At 41.2% G+C, this 20,183-nt stretch overlaps 1 long non-coding RNA gene across 1 annotated transcript, besides 1 other annotated feature; it reads left to right on the plus strand.

Moving 5' to 3' along the window:
* The first annotated feature begins 841 nt into the window (after window positions 1-841).
* Window positions 842-18,440, plus strand: LINC01892 (long intergenic non-protein coding RNA 1892). The gene is made up of 4 exons (NR_146900.1): window positions 842-900; window positions 4,657-4,888; window positions 15,206-15,473; window positions 17,793-18,440. It is a non-coding gene; the product is annotated as a long intergenic non-protein coding RNA 1892 (long non-coding RNA).
* Window positions 16,764-17,281: an enhancer, noted in NCBI's record as "NANOG hESC enhancer chr18:5097103-5097620 (GRCh37/hg19 assembly coordinates)". NCBI's record gives its function as "activates a minimal SCP1, AML or CMV promoter by ChIP-STARR-seq in primed H9 embryonic stem cells {active_cell/tissue: H9 hESC(primed)}" and the evidence as "EXISTENCE:reporter gene assay evidence [ECO:0000049][PMID:30033119]".
* Window positions 18,441-20,183: the final 1,743 nt, after the last annotated feature.

Raw genomic sequence — 20,183 nt, forward strand, 5'->3', positions numbered from 1 at the left:
ATATATCTGTCTTTAGTGGGTAAAGCACTGAAAGCAGAGGAAGACACAAACAGCTAAGTGAGGACATCATTTGCTCCATGAAATGACAGAGGCTTATGACATAATGAGAGCATAAAGTGGGGCATCCGACCCAACGAGTAGCTATGGGTGGTATTTTGGAAGAAGTGGCCCCTGAGCTATACCTTCCATAAACACAGGAGAAAGGTGGCTTTGGAAGTGAACAGAATATGGTGCCAACCTGGCTCCATCACTCCCACATACCCTAAGCCATGATTTAACCTTTCTAAGCCTTAGTTTTCTATGTAAAATAAGTCGAATAATATCCACTTTTCAGAATTATTGTAACGAATATATATTGTGCAATTCGTTCATACCTTAAGTAATTAATAAATGGTAGTTTTTATTATTGAAAGAGTTTAGCAATATAAAGTGTAATATAGAAGAAATGTATAAATTGAAATGGTAAAAGTATAAAATGCAACATCAAAATCTAATAAGACTTTAAATTGTGCAATTTGAATTTGGAAATAAAAAAAGTCTTTAGATACCGTAGTGAGAGTGGCTTTAGTCAAGTATTGTTTCTTGAAAACAAATGCAGAAAATTAGAAATGAATGAGAATGAAGGACATGGAAACAAGGAATTTTGAAATGTTAATTGCAAAGGGAGAGGAGGATGCAGGATCGAGAAAACTGAAGTGTTTTAGATAGGGAAAAATCTTGAGCATTCTTATAGGCTATGAGGAAGAAATCAGGAGAGGAGTGGAAAAAGGACACAGGAGGAATAATTGATAAAGCAACATTCTGGAATGAGTAGGTCAGAATCAGTTCTAGAATCCTGGTGAAGAAGTTGGCCTTAGCCAGAATGGAGATACCTGATCATCAGAGGCTGGAGGAAAGCAGGTAAAGATTGATGAGAGTATATTTGTCTATTTGTATTGGACTGGGTAGAGAGAATAAAAGAAGGTCATGCTTGATGGACTCTGTGTTTTCTATGGAGTCAGAAGCAAGCTCATCTTTCTAGAGTCAGGGCTTGAAGCAGAGAAGGATACAAGAGAATAATGCAAATTTGGAAATGGATCTGATATATGCGGGGCAGGAAGGTGACCAAAAGCAACAAAAGGTTTATCAGATGGTGCTAAGTTTCCTGCCACATTTGAAGACATACATATGTAGCTGAACCAATCTCCATGGTTGCAGATTTCTCTCCAACAGTGCTCAGCTGTCTGGGGCTGGGTGTAAAAAAGAAAGTAGATTCAGAGTTTAAATTTTGCTAGGAAGATGGAAAGAAAAGTATGCAAGAAATTTGGAATACCGTTGAGAGTGTTGTTTAGATGATAAAGTGTAGGTCCAGGCTGAGGAATGAAAAGGGGATCATAGGTGGGAAGATGATAGAGACATGGAGAAACAGACATGGAAGCGATTCAATGCCTAATAAGTAAGGCAAGTGCAGGAAAATCAAAATGTTCACCAGCCAACTCAGCAACATGCAGCAATAACCACTTGTGTTTAGAGAAGGGAAGATAATTATGGGTTAGGGTCTTCAAGAAACACTTCTCAGTGGGGTCAGGATTTGATAATCAGATTTAGATTTGGGGAAGAGGAGAGGGAGTAGAGTAGTGTGGTGGTAGCAGAGGATTCATGCAGAAAGGTGGTGAGAAAGAAGGTAGGTGACGTATAATGCAGCTAGGTTGTCCAGCTTCTCAGAGAAATAGGTGAAGGAATTTAGACTTCATCCCATAAGGCATGACAAGGCACTGAAGTTTTTGAGAAGGGAAGTGGCAAAATAAAGAATGCTTTCATAAGTGTGAGAAATGGATTAAAAGGGAGACCAACTATAGAGAAGGAGAGCAGGTGCAATACTTTAAGTATATGGTATAGAAAGATTTTATAGTGAGGAAATGGAGGAGCGTCAGCTGTGTGGATAATTTTCCCAAATCTATTTAAACATCTACCAACACAAAAGAAAAGTAAAATATTGGCTTAAAAAAGACAACTCACAAAACACTTGTAAGACTTAATAACAGGTCATGAAACTAGATAGGGATTACACCAAACACTTTGCATTCCATTTTTTGTTTATCATTTTTAATCCCAGCAAAATCAAAATATTCTCATTTTTGAGAAAGCCTCTAAATGATTAAGCAACTTGTCCAAAGTTACGCAGCTGGAAAATGGCATGGCAAGAAGTGAAATCCAGGGCTCTTCTTGTCAGAGCCATGTGACTCAGAGCAACTCCATTTTAAATAGGAGCTGGATAAAATGAGGCTGAAACCTACTGGGCTGCATTCCCAGATGGTTAAGGCATTTGAAGTCACAGGATGAGACAAGAAGACAACACAAAACAGAGGTCATCACCAACATGGCACATGTATACATATGTAACAAACCTGCACGTTGTGCTCATGTACCCTAGAACTTAAAGTATAATAAGAAAAATACAGGTCATAAAGACCTTGCTAATAAAACAGGTTGCAGTAAAGGAGCCAGCCAAAACCCACAAAAACCAAAATGGCAAGAGTGACCTCCGGTGATCCTCAGTGCTACACTCTCACCAGCACCATAACAGTTAATAAATGCTATGGCAATGTCAGGAAGTTACCCTATATGGTCTAAAAATAATCCACTCCTTGTTTAACAAGAAATAACTGTAACAACAAAGCATCATCAAGAAATAACCATAAGAATGGGCAACCAGCAGCCCTCAGGGCTGCTCTGTCTATGGAGTAGCCATTCTTTTATTTCTTTACTTTATTAATAAACTTGCTTTCACTTTGCCCTGGGGACTGGCCCTAAATTTTTCCTGTGTGAGATCCAAGAACCCTCTCTTAGGGTCTGGATCGGGACCCCTTTCCTGTAACATTCTGACTCCAAAAGTCCAGACTCCAGTACAAATACAGGACCCAAAAAAATGATTAGGTTACAACAAATATTACACTAATATTGTATATAATAATGTTTTTATCTATTAAAAAGTATAAAGCTATGGACAGAGTGCTATTACATATATTAATCCTTTTCATCTCTATTAATACCCTTAGGCATACAGAGAAAATATCATTGCTCCTGTAGAGGGGTAATTTTTATCGGAAACAGAATCTATTACACTGAAAATAGGAAAGGGAAGTTAGTAGAAATATAATGAATTAGTTGGTCAATTTATTTTAAAAATTACATAGATCAAGGAGAACTCATGAAGAAACACAATGAAGAGAGGGAGAGGGCAGAACCCAGGAGAGTCTGCATTCGTGAGATAATAAAATTGAGGCAAGTCAAGATTATAATCGAACTGTGAGCAATGGATATCAGGTTTTTACAAGGACACACTACTCTCATCACTCTAGAATAAGCCCTATTGTATGAAGATAGCATTATAAGGAGGAAGGGCTAATATAAATGAAGTAGAGATGTGTAAAGGCAAAGCAACACAATGTGCATTCTAGCTCCACTCTGGGGAAAGTTCTGAGAAGGAGCTTGGGAGATGGTTATGCCATTGACATGGCACAATATTATAAGGGGGAAACATTAGTAATATGGGCATACCACAAAACTTAAGCTGGGCCTCAAATCTCAGGAATTTTGGAGGCAATAGACTAATATCTGAGCTGTCTTTACTCATGGTCAGGGCAAATAATAACCTTAATTTCTTGTCAGTGTCAATAGCATCACTGACAAGAAATTAAGCCTTTCGATGCAGAGAATGAAACCATAGAAAAAACTTCTCCCTATGACCATAGATCAAGAAACTGAGGCACAAGATTCCATGATTTATCTATAAACATACAGTTAGAAAACCTAGCATTAGAGTTCTCATGATTGGTAATCCATGATTTGCTTCTTTCTAGCTATGAAAGAAAGCTTGAAAATCGTTTGTAGTGGTCCAAGGCATTCAGTTCATTAGCTTTTACCAACAGAAAAGGAAAAGCCTGGGCATGGTGGCTCACACCTGTAATCCCAGTACTCTGGGAGGCTGAGGTGGGAGGACCACTTGAGCCCAGGGATTTGAGAACAGCCTGGGCAACATAGCAAGACCCCCATCTCTACAATAAATTAAAAAAAGATAGCTAGACATGGTGGCACCTACCTGTGGTTCCAGCTACTTGGGAAGCTGAACAGGAGGATTGCTTGAGTGTATGAGGCTGAGGCTGCAGTGGGTTGTAATTATGTCACTGCACTCCAGGCTAGGTAATGGAGCAAGATCTTGTCTCAAAAAAGAAAGGAAAGAAAAAAAGACACTTTCAAGGTTGCTTTAAAGAAAGATAATCTGGTGCAGAAAATGTGCCCTGAAATGCCTTATGTGCACATCATCTATTCTGGAACCGACTTGGGGTTGGATTAGAACTGCAGGTAGAAATCAGTGTGACAATTGGGGAGAACAGTGTGCCTAAGACATGCAGAATTCAGAATATCAAAGAACTGGGGGCTTCAGCAAGTGCATAATGGAAAGCACAAAGCCTAATGGAGCAAAAGATTCATTACATTGAACAGAAAAAGGGTAAGAAATCATTGAACGAATCAGTTGGAGTTGCTTCACCTAAGTGGTAGGGAAGTGTCAAAGCTAAAAGCAGACTAAAGAGATACAAGTGTAGACCCTGTTTTCAGCTATTCAATTTTTCTATTTCCCAAACCCATTTGACATGTAACTCTTCAAATCACCAGGTTCCTCAAAAAACAAACAACAACAAAAAAACAACAAAACATGAAGAAGCCAAATCTGGAGGATGAGTTTTCCAAATTAAACACTGAATATTGTTGTAGAGTAAAATGATACTGTTTGTAAAGAGATGTTTTTACTAGACATCCTCTTCCTAGCCACCTATTAAGGAATAACTAGAATATATATTAACAGCAAGACATCGGAAATTATCTTTGCACCTGACAAAATGTTAAGGTGAGAGGGGAAGCCAGCTGGGCTTCTGGGTTGGGTGGGGACTTGGAGAACTTTTCTGTCTAGCTAAAGGATTATAAATGCAGCAATCAGCACTGTGTAAAAATGCACCAAACAGCACTCTGTAAAATGGACCAATTGGCTCTCTGTAAAATGAACCAATCAGCAGGATGTGGGCTGGGCCAAATAAGGAATAAAAGCTGGCCACCCCAGCCAACAGCGGCAACCCACTTGGGTCCCCTTCCCCACTGTGGAAGCTTTGTTCTTTCACTCTTCACGATAAATCTTGCTGCTGCTCACTCTTTGGGTCTGCATTACCTTTATGAGCTGTAACACTCACTGTGAGGGTCTGTGGCTTCATTCCTGAAGTCCGCCAGACCATGAACCCACTGGGAGGAATAAACAACTCTGGACACACCACCTTTAAGAGCTGTAACACTCACTGCAAGGGTCTGTGGCTTCACTCCTGAAGTCAGCGAGACCATGAACCCACCAGAAGGAAGGAACTCTGGACACATCTGAACATCTGAAGGAACAAACTTCAGACACACCATCTTTAAGAACTGTAGCACTCACCGTGAAGGCCTGCAGCTTCATTCTTGAAGTCAGTGAGACCAAGAACCTGCCAGAGGAATACATTCCAGACACATTTTGGTGACCCAGATGGGACACATTTTGATGACCCAGATGGGACACATTTTGGTGACCCAGATGGGACTATTGCCTATCGCCAAGCAGTGAGTACCATTGGGCCCCTTTCATTACTATTCTGTCCTATTTTTCCTTAGAATTTGGGGGCTAAATACTGGGCACCTGTCGGCCAGTTAAAAGTGACTAGTGCAGCCATGGGACTAAAGACACGGGTGTCAGGCTTTCTCGGAAAGGGCTCTCTAACAACCCCCAATTCTTCAGAGTTGGGAGCGTTGGTTTTCCTGGAACCAGCTTCCGCTTTTCCTGTACTTCTGGGCTGAGCCGAGGGTTGACAGAGAGGAAAGCCATTCAGCTCCGGGGTCCTGACAACAAGTTGGTTGACCTGAGGCCATGAGCAGTACTCTCAAAGTCACGTTGCCCAAGCAAGACTCGCCCATCTATCCTATCTATCCTGACCCATGCCCCCTGGGTCCTAATGCCTGTCAGACAAACTTCCTCTCGCCTCTCTTCTCTGAGGCTAGTTCTGCTTCTAAAAACCACTCCCTGTCTCTGGTGCTTTTCTAGTTTTTCCTATAAGAATGATTTCTAGTATAAACTCCAGGACTCTATTCCCTTCTTTAGGCACCCAGGCTCACCAATCAGAAAGACATAATTTTTGCCCAAAGCCCAATCAGGTGGGGAGACCAACTATCCTTTTAGGATCCCTCCTCAGACTAGCAGACCTAACAAAAGCTATTCCTGAAGCTAGGATATGGGGAGCTTCAGAAATGATATCCTTCCTATTCAAGTGAGGACAAAAGGCATCACTCCTCCAACCCTAGAGATCCCTTCCTTCCCTCAGGGTATGGCAATCCACTTCATTTTCGGGGCATAACATCTTTATAGGATGGAGTAAAGTCCCAATACTAACAGGAGAATGCTTAGAACTCTAACAGGATTTTTATAATGTGTCGGTAAGGGCCACTAAATCCAATTTTTCTTGGTCCTCTTTGTGGTCTAGGAGGACAGGCAAGGGTGCAGGTTTTCGAGAATGCATCAGTAAGCGGCCACTAAATCTGACCTTCCTCAGTCCTCCTTGTGGTCTAGGAGGAAAACTAGTGTTTCTGCTGCTGCGTCGGTGAGCGCAACTATTCCGATCAACAGGGTCCGGGGACTGTTGCAGGTTCTTGGGCAAGAAGTGTTTCTACTGCTGCATCAGTGAGCACAACTATTCCAATCAGCAGGGTCCAGGGACCATTTGCAGGTTCTTGGGCAGGGGTAGAAACAAATCAAAACCATAGGCAGTTTTGTCTTTCAGATGGGAAACACTCAGGCACCAACAGGCTCACCCTTGAAATGCATCCTAAGCCATTGGGACCAATTTGGCCCAAAAACCCTGAAAAAGAGATGGCTCATTTTTTTCTGCACTGTGGCCTGGCCCCAATATTCTCTCTCTGATGGGGAAAAATGGCCACCTGAGGGAAGTATAAATTACAATACTATCCTGCAGCTTGACCTTTTCTGTAAGGCGGAAGGCAAATGGAGCGAAGTACTTTATGTCTAAGCTTTCTTTTCATTCAAGGAGAATCCACAACTATGCAAAGCTTGCAATTTACTTCCCACAGGAGGACCTCTCTGCTTACCTCCATATCCTAGACTCGCCATAGCTCCCCTTCCTATTAATGATAAGCCTCTCCTAATCTCCCCCACCCAGAAGGAAACAAGCAAAGAAATCTCCAAAGGATCACAAAAACTCCCGGGCTATCAGTTATGTCCCCTTCAAGCTGTAGGGGGAGGGGAATTTGGCCCAACCCAGGTACATGCCCCTTTCTCCCTCTCTGATTTAAAGCAGATCAAGGCAGACCTGGGGAAGTTTTCAGATGATCCTGATAGGTACATAGATGTCCTACAGGGTCTAGGGCAAACCTTCAATCTCACTTGGAGAGATGCCATGCTATTGTTAGATCAAACCCTGGCCTTTAATGAAAAAAATGTGGCTTTAGCTGCAGCCCGAGAGTTTGGAGATACCTGGTATCTTAGTTAAGTAAGTGATAGAATGACTACCGAAGAAAGGGACAAATTCCTTGCCGGTCAGCAAGCTGTCCCCAGTATGGATCCCCACTGGTACCTTGACTCAGATCATGGGGACTGGAGTTGCAAACATCTGTTGACCTGTGTTCTAGAAGGACTAAGGAGAATTAGGAAAAAGTCCATGAATTATTCAATGATGTCCACCATAACTCAGGGAAAGGAAGAAAATCCTTCTGCCTTCCTCGAACAGCTATGGGATGCCTTAAGAAAATATACTCCCCTGTCACCTGACTCACACGAGGGTTAATTGATTCTAAAAGATAAGTTTATTACCCAATCAGCCACAGCTATCAGGAGAAAGCTCCAAAAGTGAGCTCTGGGCCCTGAACAAAATCTGGAGGCATTATTAAAACCTGGCAACCTCAGTGTTCTATAATAGGGACCAAGACAAACAGGTCCAAAAGGAAAGCAAGATCAGAGAAAGGCCACAGCCTTAGTCATGGCCCTCAGACAAACAAACCTTGGTGGTTCAGAGAGGACAGAAAATGGAGCGGGCCAATCAACCAGTAGGGCTTGTTATCAGTGTGGTTTACAAGGACACTTTAAAAAAGATTGTCCAATGAGAAACAAGCTGCCCCCTCGTCCATGTCCACTATGCCAAAGCAATCACTGGAAGGCACACTGCCCCAGAGGGCAAAGGTTCTCTGGGCCAAAAGCCCCCAACCAAATGATCCAAAAACAGTATTGAGGGTGTCCGGGGCAAGCGCCAGCACATGTCATCACCCTCACTGAGCCCCATGTACTTTTGACCATTGAGGGCCAGGAAATTGACTTCCTCCTGGACACTTGCCCAGCTTTCTCAGGGTTAATCTCCTGTCCTGGACAGCTGTCCTCAAGGTCCGTTACCATCCAAAGAATCCTGGGACAGCCTGTAAGCAGGTATTTCTCCCACCTCCTCAGTTGTAATTGGGAGACTTTGCTACATATAGTAAGTATGTGTATCTAATCCTATATGCCCATGCTGCAATATGGAAAGAAAGGGAGTTCCTAACCTCTGAGAGAACCCCCATTAAATATCACAAGGAAACCATGGAGTTATTGCACACAGTGCGAAAACCCAAGGAGGTGGCAGTCTTATGCTGCTGAAGCCATCAAAAGGGGAAGGAGAGGGGAGAACAGCAACATAAGCAGCTGGCAGAGACAGGGAAAGACCAACAGAAAGGAAAGAGAAAGAGACAGAAAGAGAGAAAGAAGGAGTCAAAGAGAGAGACAAAGTCAAAGAGAGAGAGGAAGAGACAAAGAGGGAGTCAGAAAGAGAGAGACAAAGAAGAAGTCAAAGAAAAAGAAAGAGAGATGGAAGTAGTAAAGAAAAAAACAGTGTACCCTATTCCTTTAAAAGCCAGGGTAATTAAAACCTATAATTGATAATTGAAGGTCTTCTCCATGACCCCATAACACTCCAATACCACCTTGTTGTCAGTGTAAACAAGGGCATAGCCTGAAAGCACTGAGGCCACTGACAACCCATAGCCTTCCTATTAAAAACCTTAATCCAGCAGGTGTCCTAACAGGGGATCTAAATCTTAATTAATTACCATACAAAGGTCTGACCAGACCAAGGAGGAACTCCCTTCAGGACAGGAGGACAGATGTTTCCTCCAAGGAGATTAAGGGGAAAAAACGCAGTGAGTATTCAGTAAATGGTAAGGAAACTCTTGTAGAAGCAGAGTTAGGAAAATAACCTAATAATTGGTCTGCTCAAATGTGCGAGCTCTTTGCACTCAGCCAAACCTTAAAGTACTTACAGAATCAGGAAGAAGCCATCTATATGAATTCTAAGTTAATATGGACTGAATGAGGTCTTATTAATAGCAACGAATAATTGAAATCCCAAACTTACAAGGTTTCCAACAAAAGTAAAGTTTGCTAAAAGTTAACAGTGTAACATGTATTATCCTACTACCACACATTCTCAAAGGATTTCTCAGACAGTTTGCAAGAAATAACAAAATCTATCCTTCCTCTACAATCCCAAATAGACTCTTTGGCAGCAGTGACTCTCCAAAACTGCTGAGGCCTAGACGTCCTCACTGCTGAGAAAGGAGGATTCTGTACCTTCTTAGGGGAAGAATGTTGTTTTTACACTAACCAGTCAGGGATAGTACAAGATGCCACCCGGCATTTACAGGAAAAGGCTTCTGAAATCAGACAACACCTTTCAAACTCTTATACCAACCTCTGGAGTTGGGTGACATGGCTTCTCCCCTTTCTAGGTCCTGTGACAGCCATCTTGCTATTACCCCTTTGGGCCCTGTATTTTTAACCTCCTTGTCAAATTTGTTTCCTCTAGCATCAAGGCCATCAAGCTACAGATGGTCTTACAAATGGAACCCAAAATGAGTTCAACTAACAACCTATACCAAGGACCCCTGGACTGACCAGCTGGCCCTTTCACTGGCCTAAAGAGTTCCCCTCTGGAGGACACTACAACTGCAGGGCCCCTTCTTCACCCCTATGCAGCAGGAAGTAGCTAGAACGGTCATCACCCAATTCCCAACAGCAGTTGGGGTGTCCTGTCTAGAGGAGGAATTGAGAGGTGAAGCCAGCTGGGCTTCTGGGTCGGGTGGGAACTTGGAGAACTTTTCTGTCTAGCTAAAGAATTGTAAATGCACCAATCTGCACTCTGTAAAAACACACCAATCAGCACTCTGTGTCTAGCTAAAGGATTGTAAACACACCAATCAGCACTCTGTAAAAACGCATCAATCAGCACTCTGTAAAATGGACCAATCAGCTCTCTGTAAAATGGACCAATCAGCTCTCTGTAAAATGGAACAACCAGCAGGATGTGGGTGGGGCCAAAAGGAATAAAAGATGGCCACTCCAGCCAGCAGCTGCAACCCGCTTGGCTCCCCTTCCATGCTGTGGAAGCTTTGTTCTTTTGTTCTTCACAATAAATCTTGCTGCTGCTCACTCTTTGGGTCCACACTACCTTTATGAGCTGTAACACTCACTGTGAGGGTCTGTGGCTTCATTCCTGAAGTCAGCGAGACCACAAACCCACTGGGAGGAACAAACAACTCTGGACATGCCACCTTTAAGAGCTGTAACACTCACTGCGAAGGTCTGAGTCTTCATTCCTGAGGTCAGCGAGACCATGAACCCACCAGAAGGAAGAAACTCCGGACACATCTGAACATCTGAAAGAACAAACTCCAGACACACCATCTTTAAGAATTGTAACACTGCAAAGGTCTGTGTCTTCATTCTTGAAGTCAGCGAGACCAAGAACCCACCGGAAGGAATAAATTCCAGACACAAGGGGATTCTGAAAGTATCTGGATTCTATTTTTTTTTAATTTTTATTTATTTATTTATTTATTTATTTATTCATTGAGACAAGGTTTTGCTCTGTCACCCAGGTTGGCTTGCAGTAGCACAATCATGCTCACTGCAGCCTCAACCTCCCAAACTCCAGCAGTCCTCCCACGTCAGCCTCCCAAGTAGCTGAGATCACAGGCACATGATACCATGCCTGGCTAATTTTGTATTTTTGGTAGAGACAGGGTTTCACCATGTTGCCCAGGCTGGTCTTGAACTCCTGAACTCAAGTTATCCACCCACCTCAGCCTGTCAAAGTGCTGGGGTTACAGAAAAACAAGAGCCACTGTGCCCAGCCTCTAAAAGTATCTGGTGCTATTCAGATTTTTGCTTATTCTAACTTGTGAGTTCTTCGCGTCTTATCAAGATAGGAAGCTTTCTCCTGAAGGTTACAATATAGTGAGGCAATATTACCAAGTAAACAAGTGGTAATGCTATGTTGTTTCTAGGCAAAATTTTCTTGGAACTCCCCATGGGGGATTTGGAATGCTCCCCACAGGAACATCTTTCTAGAAGATATTTATGTTTATACCACAAAATGTACTTGAATGTTTTTCTATATCAGTTTGAATTATTTTGGATGCAAGTTATGGAATCCAGACTGAAAGTGACCTAAACAATGGTGACATTTATCTTACATACAAAGAAATTCAGTAGTGGGAATTTCCACCGTTGGCTAGCTCAGCAGCTCGTGATGTCAGGGTTCTGAGTATGCTTCTCTGAAATTCTCTTTACTTTCTCCTCATGGTCACAAAATAAATCCTGTAGCTTCAAGCATCACATCCTCACAGAAGGAGGTCTAAAGGCAAGGAGGAAAAAGGATTTCTCCTCATCTGCTTGACTTTTTTTTTTTCTTTTGAGAAAAGGTCTTGCTATGTTTCACAGTCAGGTCTTAAACTCCTAGGCTCAAGCAATTCTCCCACCTCAACTTCCTGAGTAGCTAGGATTCTAGACATGTACCACCATATCTGGCTTGCTTCACTTTTTGAAAAAAAGAAAGAGCTTTCCAGAAATTCCAGCTGTGTTTCCATCATGTTTCATTGGCTTAGGACTGGGCCACATGCCACTCTTAAACCAGTCACTGGTAAAGAAGAAAGAGATCACCAATACTGGTTTAAACCAATCATAATGTATCCCCAGAGATGAACCTATCTTTCCTGAGCCTATTACTGTCCTACTCTTAAAATAACTGTAGTGTTGTCAGAAAGGAAAATGAGAGGGATGGTTGTTGAAAAGACAGTTAACAAGTTCAACTTATCATTTATAGATATTTTCCTTCTACTTGAAGGTCTATTTCAAAATTTGTATTTAGTATTTATTAAGAAAACAACAGGCTGGGCACAGTGGCTCATGCCTGTAATCCCACCTCTTTGGGAGGCCAAGGCAGATGGATTACCTGAGGTCGTGAGTTTGAGACCAGCCTGGTCAACATGGTGAAACCCCGTCTCTACTAAAAATACAAAAATTAGCCAGGCATGGTGACATATACCTGTAATCCAAGCTACTCAGGAGGCAGCTGTAGGAGAATTGCTTGAACCCGGGAGGTGGAGGTTTCAGTGAGCCCAGGTTGTGCCATTGCACTCCGGCCTGGGCAACAGAGCAGGACTCCATCTCAAAAAACTAAAAAAAAAAAAAAAAAAGGAAAAAGAAAAACAACAACAACCTATAAACTGTTTTGAATGAAACAAATACATTTCAATCCTATCCTCAAAGGGACTTGTATCTGGAATGAAACGAGAGGCATGTATAGGAAACAGGACAAGAGAATGAACAAAAAGTTAAGGGGGCAAGAAAAAGTAAAATGTAGAATGAATGTGGACTTCCCAGATTCCAGGTTCCAAACTGAATGAACTTTGGTGTGCTATCAAAGAAGAATTTATTTTAAATCCTATCCTAGGGGTATAGTTAATTTTATTTAAAAATATTTTACTGAGATCTGTATCTCCTTGGGTCATAGTCTAAATGAAAACCTGGAGGTATAAGAATGGCTTAGGTAAAAGTATTTTACCTCTCTTTGTTCATTATATTTTATTTTCTTAAAAGAGCTGTGTGCTTATTCAAGGAGAGAAGACGATTTTGAAAATGAGATGTTGGCAAGAGGTGCAGTCCCTCAGTGCTTCACTGTGGACCCTAGAGGTTCCATCCCTGCTGCCTGGGCCCATCTGTCATAGCACCTGTCCACATTTTGGGTGCCACCACTAATGACATCTTGTTGGGTGAATCTTTCTTTCCTAATATCCTATAAATCCATAATCTCATTTCAGGAATATACTGAGGACGGGAGGTGTGGGATAAACAAAAGGACTTCAAAAAATTCACAGAAAAATAAAATTAAAAGATAGAAATACAATACATAAACTTTTTCAATGTAAGTTTCATCAATGCCAAGATGTTTTTGTAAGCAATGATACCAACCATGTAGTCCATCCGTGAAAGAATTGAGGGCCCTGGGAATTTAACCTTGTCAATGCAGTGTTTTGTTTTTTTACATTATTAACCTAAGAAAAATGGATGCCCTTTAAATTTTTTTTAAGATTAGAAAACAAAAAGAATTCATAAGGAAGCAAATTAGGACTGTAAAGTGGATGCCTAATGATTTTTTCACTGAAACTCTCACAAAAGTGCCCTTGTTTGATGGGAGGAATGAGCAGGAACATTGTGGTGGTGGAGAAAGACTGTCTGGTGAAACTTTCCTGGGGGTTTTTCAGCTAAAGCTTTGGCTGACTTTCTCAAAACACTCTCGTAATAAGATGTTATCACTCTTTGGTCCTCCAGAAAGTGAACAAGCAAAATGCCTTCATCATCCCCAAATAATGTTACCATGACCTTTGCTTTTGACTGGTCCACTTTCGTTTTGACTAAGACCACTTTCACCTCTTGGTAGCCATTATTTTGATTGTGTTTTGTCTTCAGGATTGTACTAGTAAAGCTGTGTTCCATCATCTATTACAACTTTTCAAATAAATCCTTCAGGATGTTGATCCATTTGTTTAAAATTTCCATTGAAACCTCTGCCCTTGTTTCCCAGCTGATCTGGGCTACACAGTTTTGGCACCCATCAAGAGGAAACTTTGCCCAACTTTAATTTTTTAGTCAGCATTGTGTAAGATGAACCAGTTGAGATGTCTATAGATTGCCTCCAAATTTAAGTCCATCCTTTTTATGTATACTTCTGAAGAAAAAATTACTTCTTCACTAATATGTTCTAGCATTTCTTCTTTCCATGGAAGACCACAATTTATATGAAAGGAGTTAATTAAAACGTGCACTTGAGACTGCTAATTTTATGACAGCCTGGGTATTGCTTGGCAAAACAATAAGGATAATATCTGACTGAAATAAATAAACTTATACTTGAGAGAACTTTATGGTAGGCAACCTGCTGAGGAAAGAGATACCAGCAGGACATTGTGTTGACCAATTTCATGTGTCAACTTGGCTAGGGCATGGTGCTCAGTTGTTCGGTCAAATAGCAGTCTAGATGTTGCTGTGGAGGCATCTTGTAGATATGATTAACATCTATAATCAATCGAATTTAAGTAAAGGAGTTTATCCTTAATAATGTGGTTGGGCCTCATCTAATCAGCTAAAGGCCTTAAGAGCAGAGACCAAGGTTTCCTGGAGAAGAAAGAATTCTACCTCAAGACTGTAACATGGAATTCTGCCTGAGGGCCAGGTGTGGTGGCTCATGGCTGCAGTCTCAGCACTTGGGAGGCCAAGGTGTTTGGATCGCTTGATGCCAGAAACTCGAGATCAGCCTGGGCAACATAGGAAGTTTCCATCTAAAACTAAATAAGTTAAATAAATTAAATAAATCCTGCCTGACTTTCTAGCCTGCTCTACAGACTTTGGAGAATCACATTAGCAAATTGCTTAAAACAAATCTCTCTTTCTGTCATGTTGGTCCTGTGTTTCCTCTGGACAAACTTGATTGATAAAGAGATTAATTCAATAAAAAGAAAAATGACTAGAAGGGCTTTAAAATGGTATAATTTCATAAAACTAAAAGATTAAGAAAAAAAGCCTTCACAGAATTAACCTGGGCAGGGCAGAATTAGGAGCATCAACAGGGGGTTTTCTTTACAGAATGTAAGGCCTCATTCACTCCTCCTGTGGCCAAGCTCTAAGGGTATATTTTGCAATAGAACGGAGATGTGTTGCTGCCCAAAATGAGGAAGAAATGAGGAAGTCCAAGGTCTAGAATTCAGCACTGGGTAGTTCTTTTAAAACCTGGTATCTACAAAAACAGATCCTACATTTTAATTCTTATCAATCTAGATTCAGAATTTGGCTGGATGCTCCTAAAGAGCTACTGAAATAGACTCAATGGCAGCTACGATGCCCAACAGAAGCAGCGATGCCTGGTGCACATAGCAGGTTGCTAGCAGGAGTCATCTGGGGTGATTCACCTGTCTTGTTGGTGAGGATATGGACATCATCTGGGGACTCTCAGAAATCCCTGAAGTGATATAGAGTCCCACATGAGCTTGCCTGTGGTGTTTTACAAACCAATAACGTAGTGTTCATAAACCAAAGTCACTTGGAGGTAAGTAGCTGCTACAGTAGATTGTAAGCATCAGAACTGTTTTATATATCATATAATTCCCATGTGCTTATCACTATTCAAAACATTAATATCCACAGCAGCTATACCCAGCCTAGTAGCTCACAGATCAGCCTATAATGAAATTTTCAGTATTGCAAAGTAATAATATTAATACAAGAGTACCCAAGTAAAAATTATCTTTTTGTGCAAGCAGAAATTCAACTCTTGAGAATTAGTTCCTTGCCTTAAAGTTTAAACAATTTTAAAATCGTCACAAGCTTAAACACAAACAACCACACAGGGCTCCAAAAGAAGAGTCTTTTTTTTTTTAAATGGTGACTCAGCCTGACTTTTGTGACTAATTAAGCACAAATTTCACCAAGCAGAACACACTTATGCTTTTAAGTCTGGGCTGGAGAGGGACCATTTTTTTGCAAACAATTGCTCCTGTCACAACAATAAGAATTTCAATATAGAGTGAATTTTGTAGTCACTATTATTTTAAGTATTCTCCCATCCCCACCGAAAGTGGGTCATTGAAATAATGACCAGATGAAAATTATAGGAATAACTATTCCTATACCATTTGACCACATTTCTACTGACATACAAATAAGCTAATACCTACATCTATAATGCACAAGATTTCTCTTTTCCTTCCTTGTTCCCCTGATTTTTTCCTTCAGTCTTCCCTCCCTTCATCTCCTGTACCCCAACCAATAGCCTCTCTCACCTTAACTCTTAAATCTTCTCCTGCTCACAAACACCACCAAAAAAAAAAAAAAAGAAAAAAAAAAGATGCACTAGCAGAGGATCCATTACTAAGTCCAGAGCAGAAGTTCCCAGATTATCAACCCACTCACAGAGGTTAAACTCCAGCAGCTGGGAGGGGGAGAAAATGACACTTGGCTTTCTGTTTCTGTAGCATCCTTGCCCCTAGTGCTCTCTGTACAGGAAAGGCCAAGATCTCACAAGGTAGGAAGTTGTTTCCTTGCTGAAACAGCATGAATGTTTATGGGTCATTAATCTTTGAGAAATGGTTGACATTTCCTATCCTCCAGCAGTAGGTATCCAGCAAGAATTATTTAAATTCATTCAATTTTTTAAACTGCACCTACAACATTCCAGGCATTGTCAAGTTCTACGTAAAGACATTGATGAACAAGACATAGAGATCCCGGTCCTGAAGAAACTTACAGCCTGACCATGACAAAAGGGCCTACTCTCAAATATCTATAATGTTGACTGGCACAATCTAGTATTTTCCTTCACTTGTTCATGTCAATAAAGGAAAATAAAAAGTCTCAGGACCCCCGAAATCCTCATGCAAAAGGGAAGGTTAAGCCTGGAAGCTGTCAGGCAACATCTTCTTCCAAATGCACGGCTGTTAGGAGCATTATGCATTAGCCAGGTTCCCGGGAAATGTTGAAAGGCAACAGGCATGTAGGAAGGGCTGTCCCATGACTCATTCATAGCAGTTGTAACTGTAGCTCTGCAAATGTAAGTCTAGCCCCTAAAACTAAAGTCTGTTGGGTTCCACACTGATAATGTCGATTACAAGCTTATCTTCTCAAGTGCAGAATAAAGGCAAGAGGTGATCAGTCATTCCTCCATCTACCAGAGAAGTCTGCATAATTGACTCTTCCTTTACTCTCTTTTTCTCTTCAAACACACACCTTATGTTATGTAAAATGCAGAGGTACTGGTCAGGAACTAAAGTCTCACAGGAATGTAACAATTTGCCTTGCAATCTACCTGCCCCTCTTCCTACATGCCTTTCCCTTCTTTAAGGAAATGTATAAATACTAAACCTCCCTAAAACTTCTTCAGAAAAATGGCCATAGATGCATCTGTGGAATGTGTTTTGCCCAGACAAGCCCTAAAGCTGGCTTAATAAAACTTGATTGATTGAGATTGTTTTTCCTCAGTTAATGATACTTCGATATCTTTTGTCTAGACCCAGTTATAGTCTGCAATTTAGGCTTAAGGTTTTTCAAAATCCAGAACTTTTAGTTTTTCTTTCCTAAAATCAGAGTATTGGTCTTTTAGAGGTAAGGAAGATTAATGATTGGGAGGTAGAAAGAAGAGCACACATTTGTTGGTGACCCCATCCCTGTTTCCAATAAGTGTGTCTGAGACCTAAGGGTCAAAGGCAACCACTCGCACCAGCTTCCTTATTCACGTGTTCCAGGTGCACATGTAAAATACTGTGTTCTCATGTTCAGATGTCTGTTCTTCAGCAAGCTCCTTTCTTCACCACCTACAGAACTTGCCCAAGAAACCAGTATTTCTAGACTCATCCTTTTTCTTTCCCATTAGCTTCAGAATTGTAAAATATTCTCAAGAAGGTTTTCAGGCCGGCTTATACCTGGAAAAACTTACAGATCTACTTGAAGCCTCTCTAAGCTCCCGGACTAGTAAATTTCCAAAAAATCAGCTTTCAAGATGATTTTCCGTTGGGTCTGATGAAGATTCTACCCTTCACTAGACTCTACCCAGGCTCCTCTGAGCCCTCTTCTCAACTAGATCTCAACTGTGGTCTATAAAGGCTTAACACTAACATAGTTTCCAACAGCTCAACCCCACATCCCAAAGGTGTTCTTCACTAGCCTTAAAGTGCTGGCCTGAGAAAACTCAAGACTGCCAAATGAATCTGCGTTTTTTCCAGGCATCACCTGAAGATAAGGCCCCTGTCTCCTAGTCTCTGTGGGAAGGCGAGAACCTAGCTTGGATAAGCGCCAGTCAAAAAACCCACATGGTTTCCCATGGACCAACTCCACTTTACCACTTTTGGGAATTTTTCACTTTCCTAACTGAGCCCCTACTTTCCCCTCTCCCTAATTCCTTCTTTTATCCTTAAAATGCCCAGTCACTTCTGTACAACTCGAAGTTGAATTTTGTTCACACTGGACTCTTTTCCCTATTGAAATAGTTATCACTGATTAAAATCTGTCCTTACCACTTTAACTAGTGTCCAGCTTTGCTTATCTTTGTGAAGATCAAGAACTGATATAATTCAAGGTGATACCATCAAGGGGAGTGAATTCGTTCAGGATAGAATAGACTGCTGTGATGAAAATAACTCTCCAAATCTTAGTGATTTAACCTGTTAAAGGTGTATTTCTCACACATGTAAAATCTGAAGCTGTCCTCCAGACTACACCACTTTTGTGACTTTGTTCTTTCAACAGAACTTTTTTTTCCCTATTCGGGAAGAGATTGGAGGATTGTGCAGGAACTTACACTGCCTTATCCCAGAAGTGACAGCCACAACATCCAACCATATTTCCATGGCCAAAACATGTCCTATGGCTTCACCTAACCACAAATTAGCTGAAAGGTGGAATCTACAATATGTCCAAGAATGAAAATAGAGACGTCATTCAAGGACCTATAAAATGGGTGAGGATGGGCAGGATAGGGGGGGGATGGCTCAAATCTAAAGAATCATTTCCTCCCTATTTCCCGTTTTATGACCTGTGACCAAGACAGGTCCTAGGCCTTTGAAGTCAAGGCACTCTCTGCCTTTGCAAAAATGTTACTACCTCATCTCAGACCCTTTCCACTCCACCCAGAAACAACTGATCTTTTCTACAATTGAGATTAAGATAAACCATTAATATAGTTTGGATTTGTGTCCCCGCCCAAATCTCATGTCAGATTGTAATCCCCAGTGTTGGAGGAGGGGCCTGGTGGGAGGCGACTGGATCATGGGGGCAGATTTCCCTCTTGCTGTTCTTGTGATAGTGAGTGAGTTCTCATGAGATATGGCTGATTAAAAGTGTGCAGCACCTCCCCCTTATCTTTCTTCCTCCTGCTCCAGCCATGTAAGATGTGCCTCCTTCTTCTCCACCTTCTGCCATGATTGTAAGTTTTCTGAGGCCTCCCCAGCCATGCATCCTGTAGAGCCTGTGGAACCATGAGCCAATTGAACTTCTTTTCTTTATAAGTTACCCAGTCTCATGTAGTTCTTTATAGAAATGTGACAATGGACTAACACATCCCTATCACAGAAAACAACCATGTCGGCAGATGGCGGTCATAAAGGCAGGGTTATAAGAATCAGGGAGAATTAAAAATGAGGACGTAGGTATTAATATATATTTATTAACATGAAAAGGTGTTTACTACACATTCATAAGGGAGAAAATTGTGTATTGGTACATATGGCATATGTATAGTATAATCCTGTGTGTGTGTTTATGTATATGTATACGTATATACATATTCTATGTAAATAGGGAAAAGTCTGAAAGAGTATTCCAACATGTGAACTGCATGGGTGAAGGAGATTTTCCTTCACCCTAGGAAGGTTCACTGAAAAATCAACTCACAAAAAGACAGATTAATACGAGAAAAGGGTTTACAAATTTATTCCTACCCTGCACATGAGGGGAATAACAGAGTGACTGCCTAATATCCCAATGGGGTTCAGAAGCTTATATACCATCTTGAGGTTACAGAAAGACTGGGGGCTTGGATTCTGGCAAAACAGATTAAGGGAGGGGGAGAAGAGGAATTCTGTTGAAGGGCAATAAATGGAAAATGGTTTGATGGAGGAACAGAGATTAGCTTGTAAATAGTTCTATTTGCAAGTTGAATGATCCTTGTAGACAAACATAATCTTGTGAAAGGATCTGTTCATGTATGATTACATTCTTTGTCTTCTTTTCTGCAGTGAATAATGACATGGGAAGGGAATGGAACAAT

The sequence above is a fragment of the Homo sapiens genome, chromosome 18, assembly GCF_000001405.40.
Source record: "Homo sapiens chromosome 18, GRCh38.p14 Primary Assembly".
NCBI lineage: Eukaryota > Metazoa > Chordata > Mammalia > Primates > Hominidae > Homo > Homo sapiens.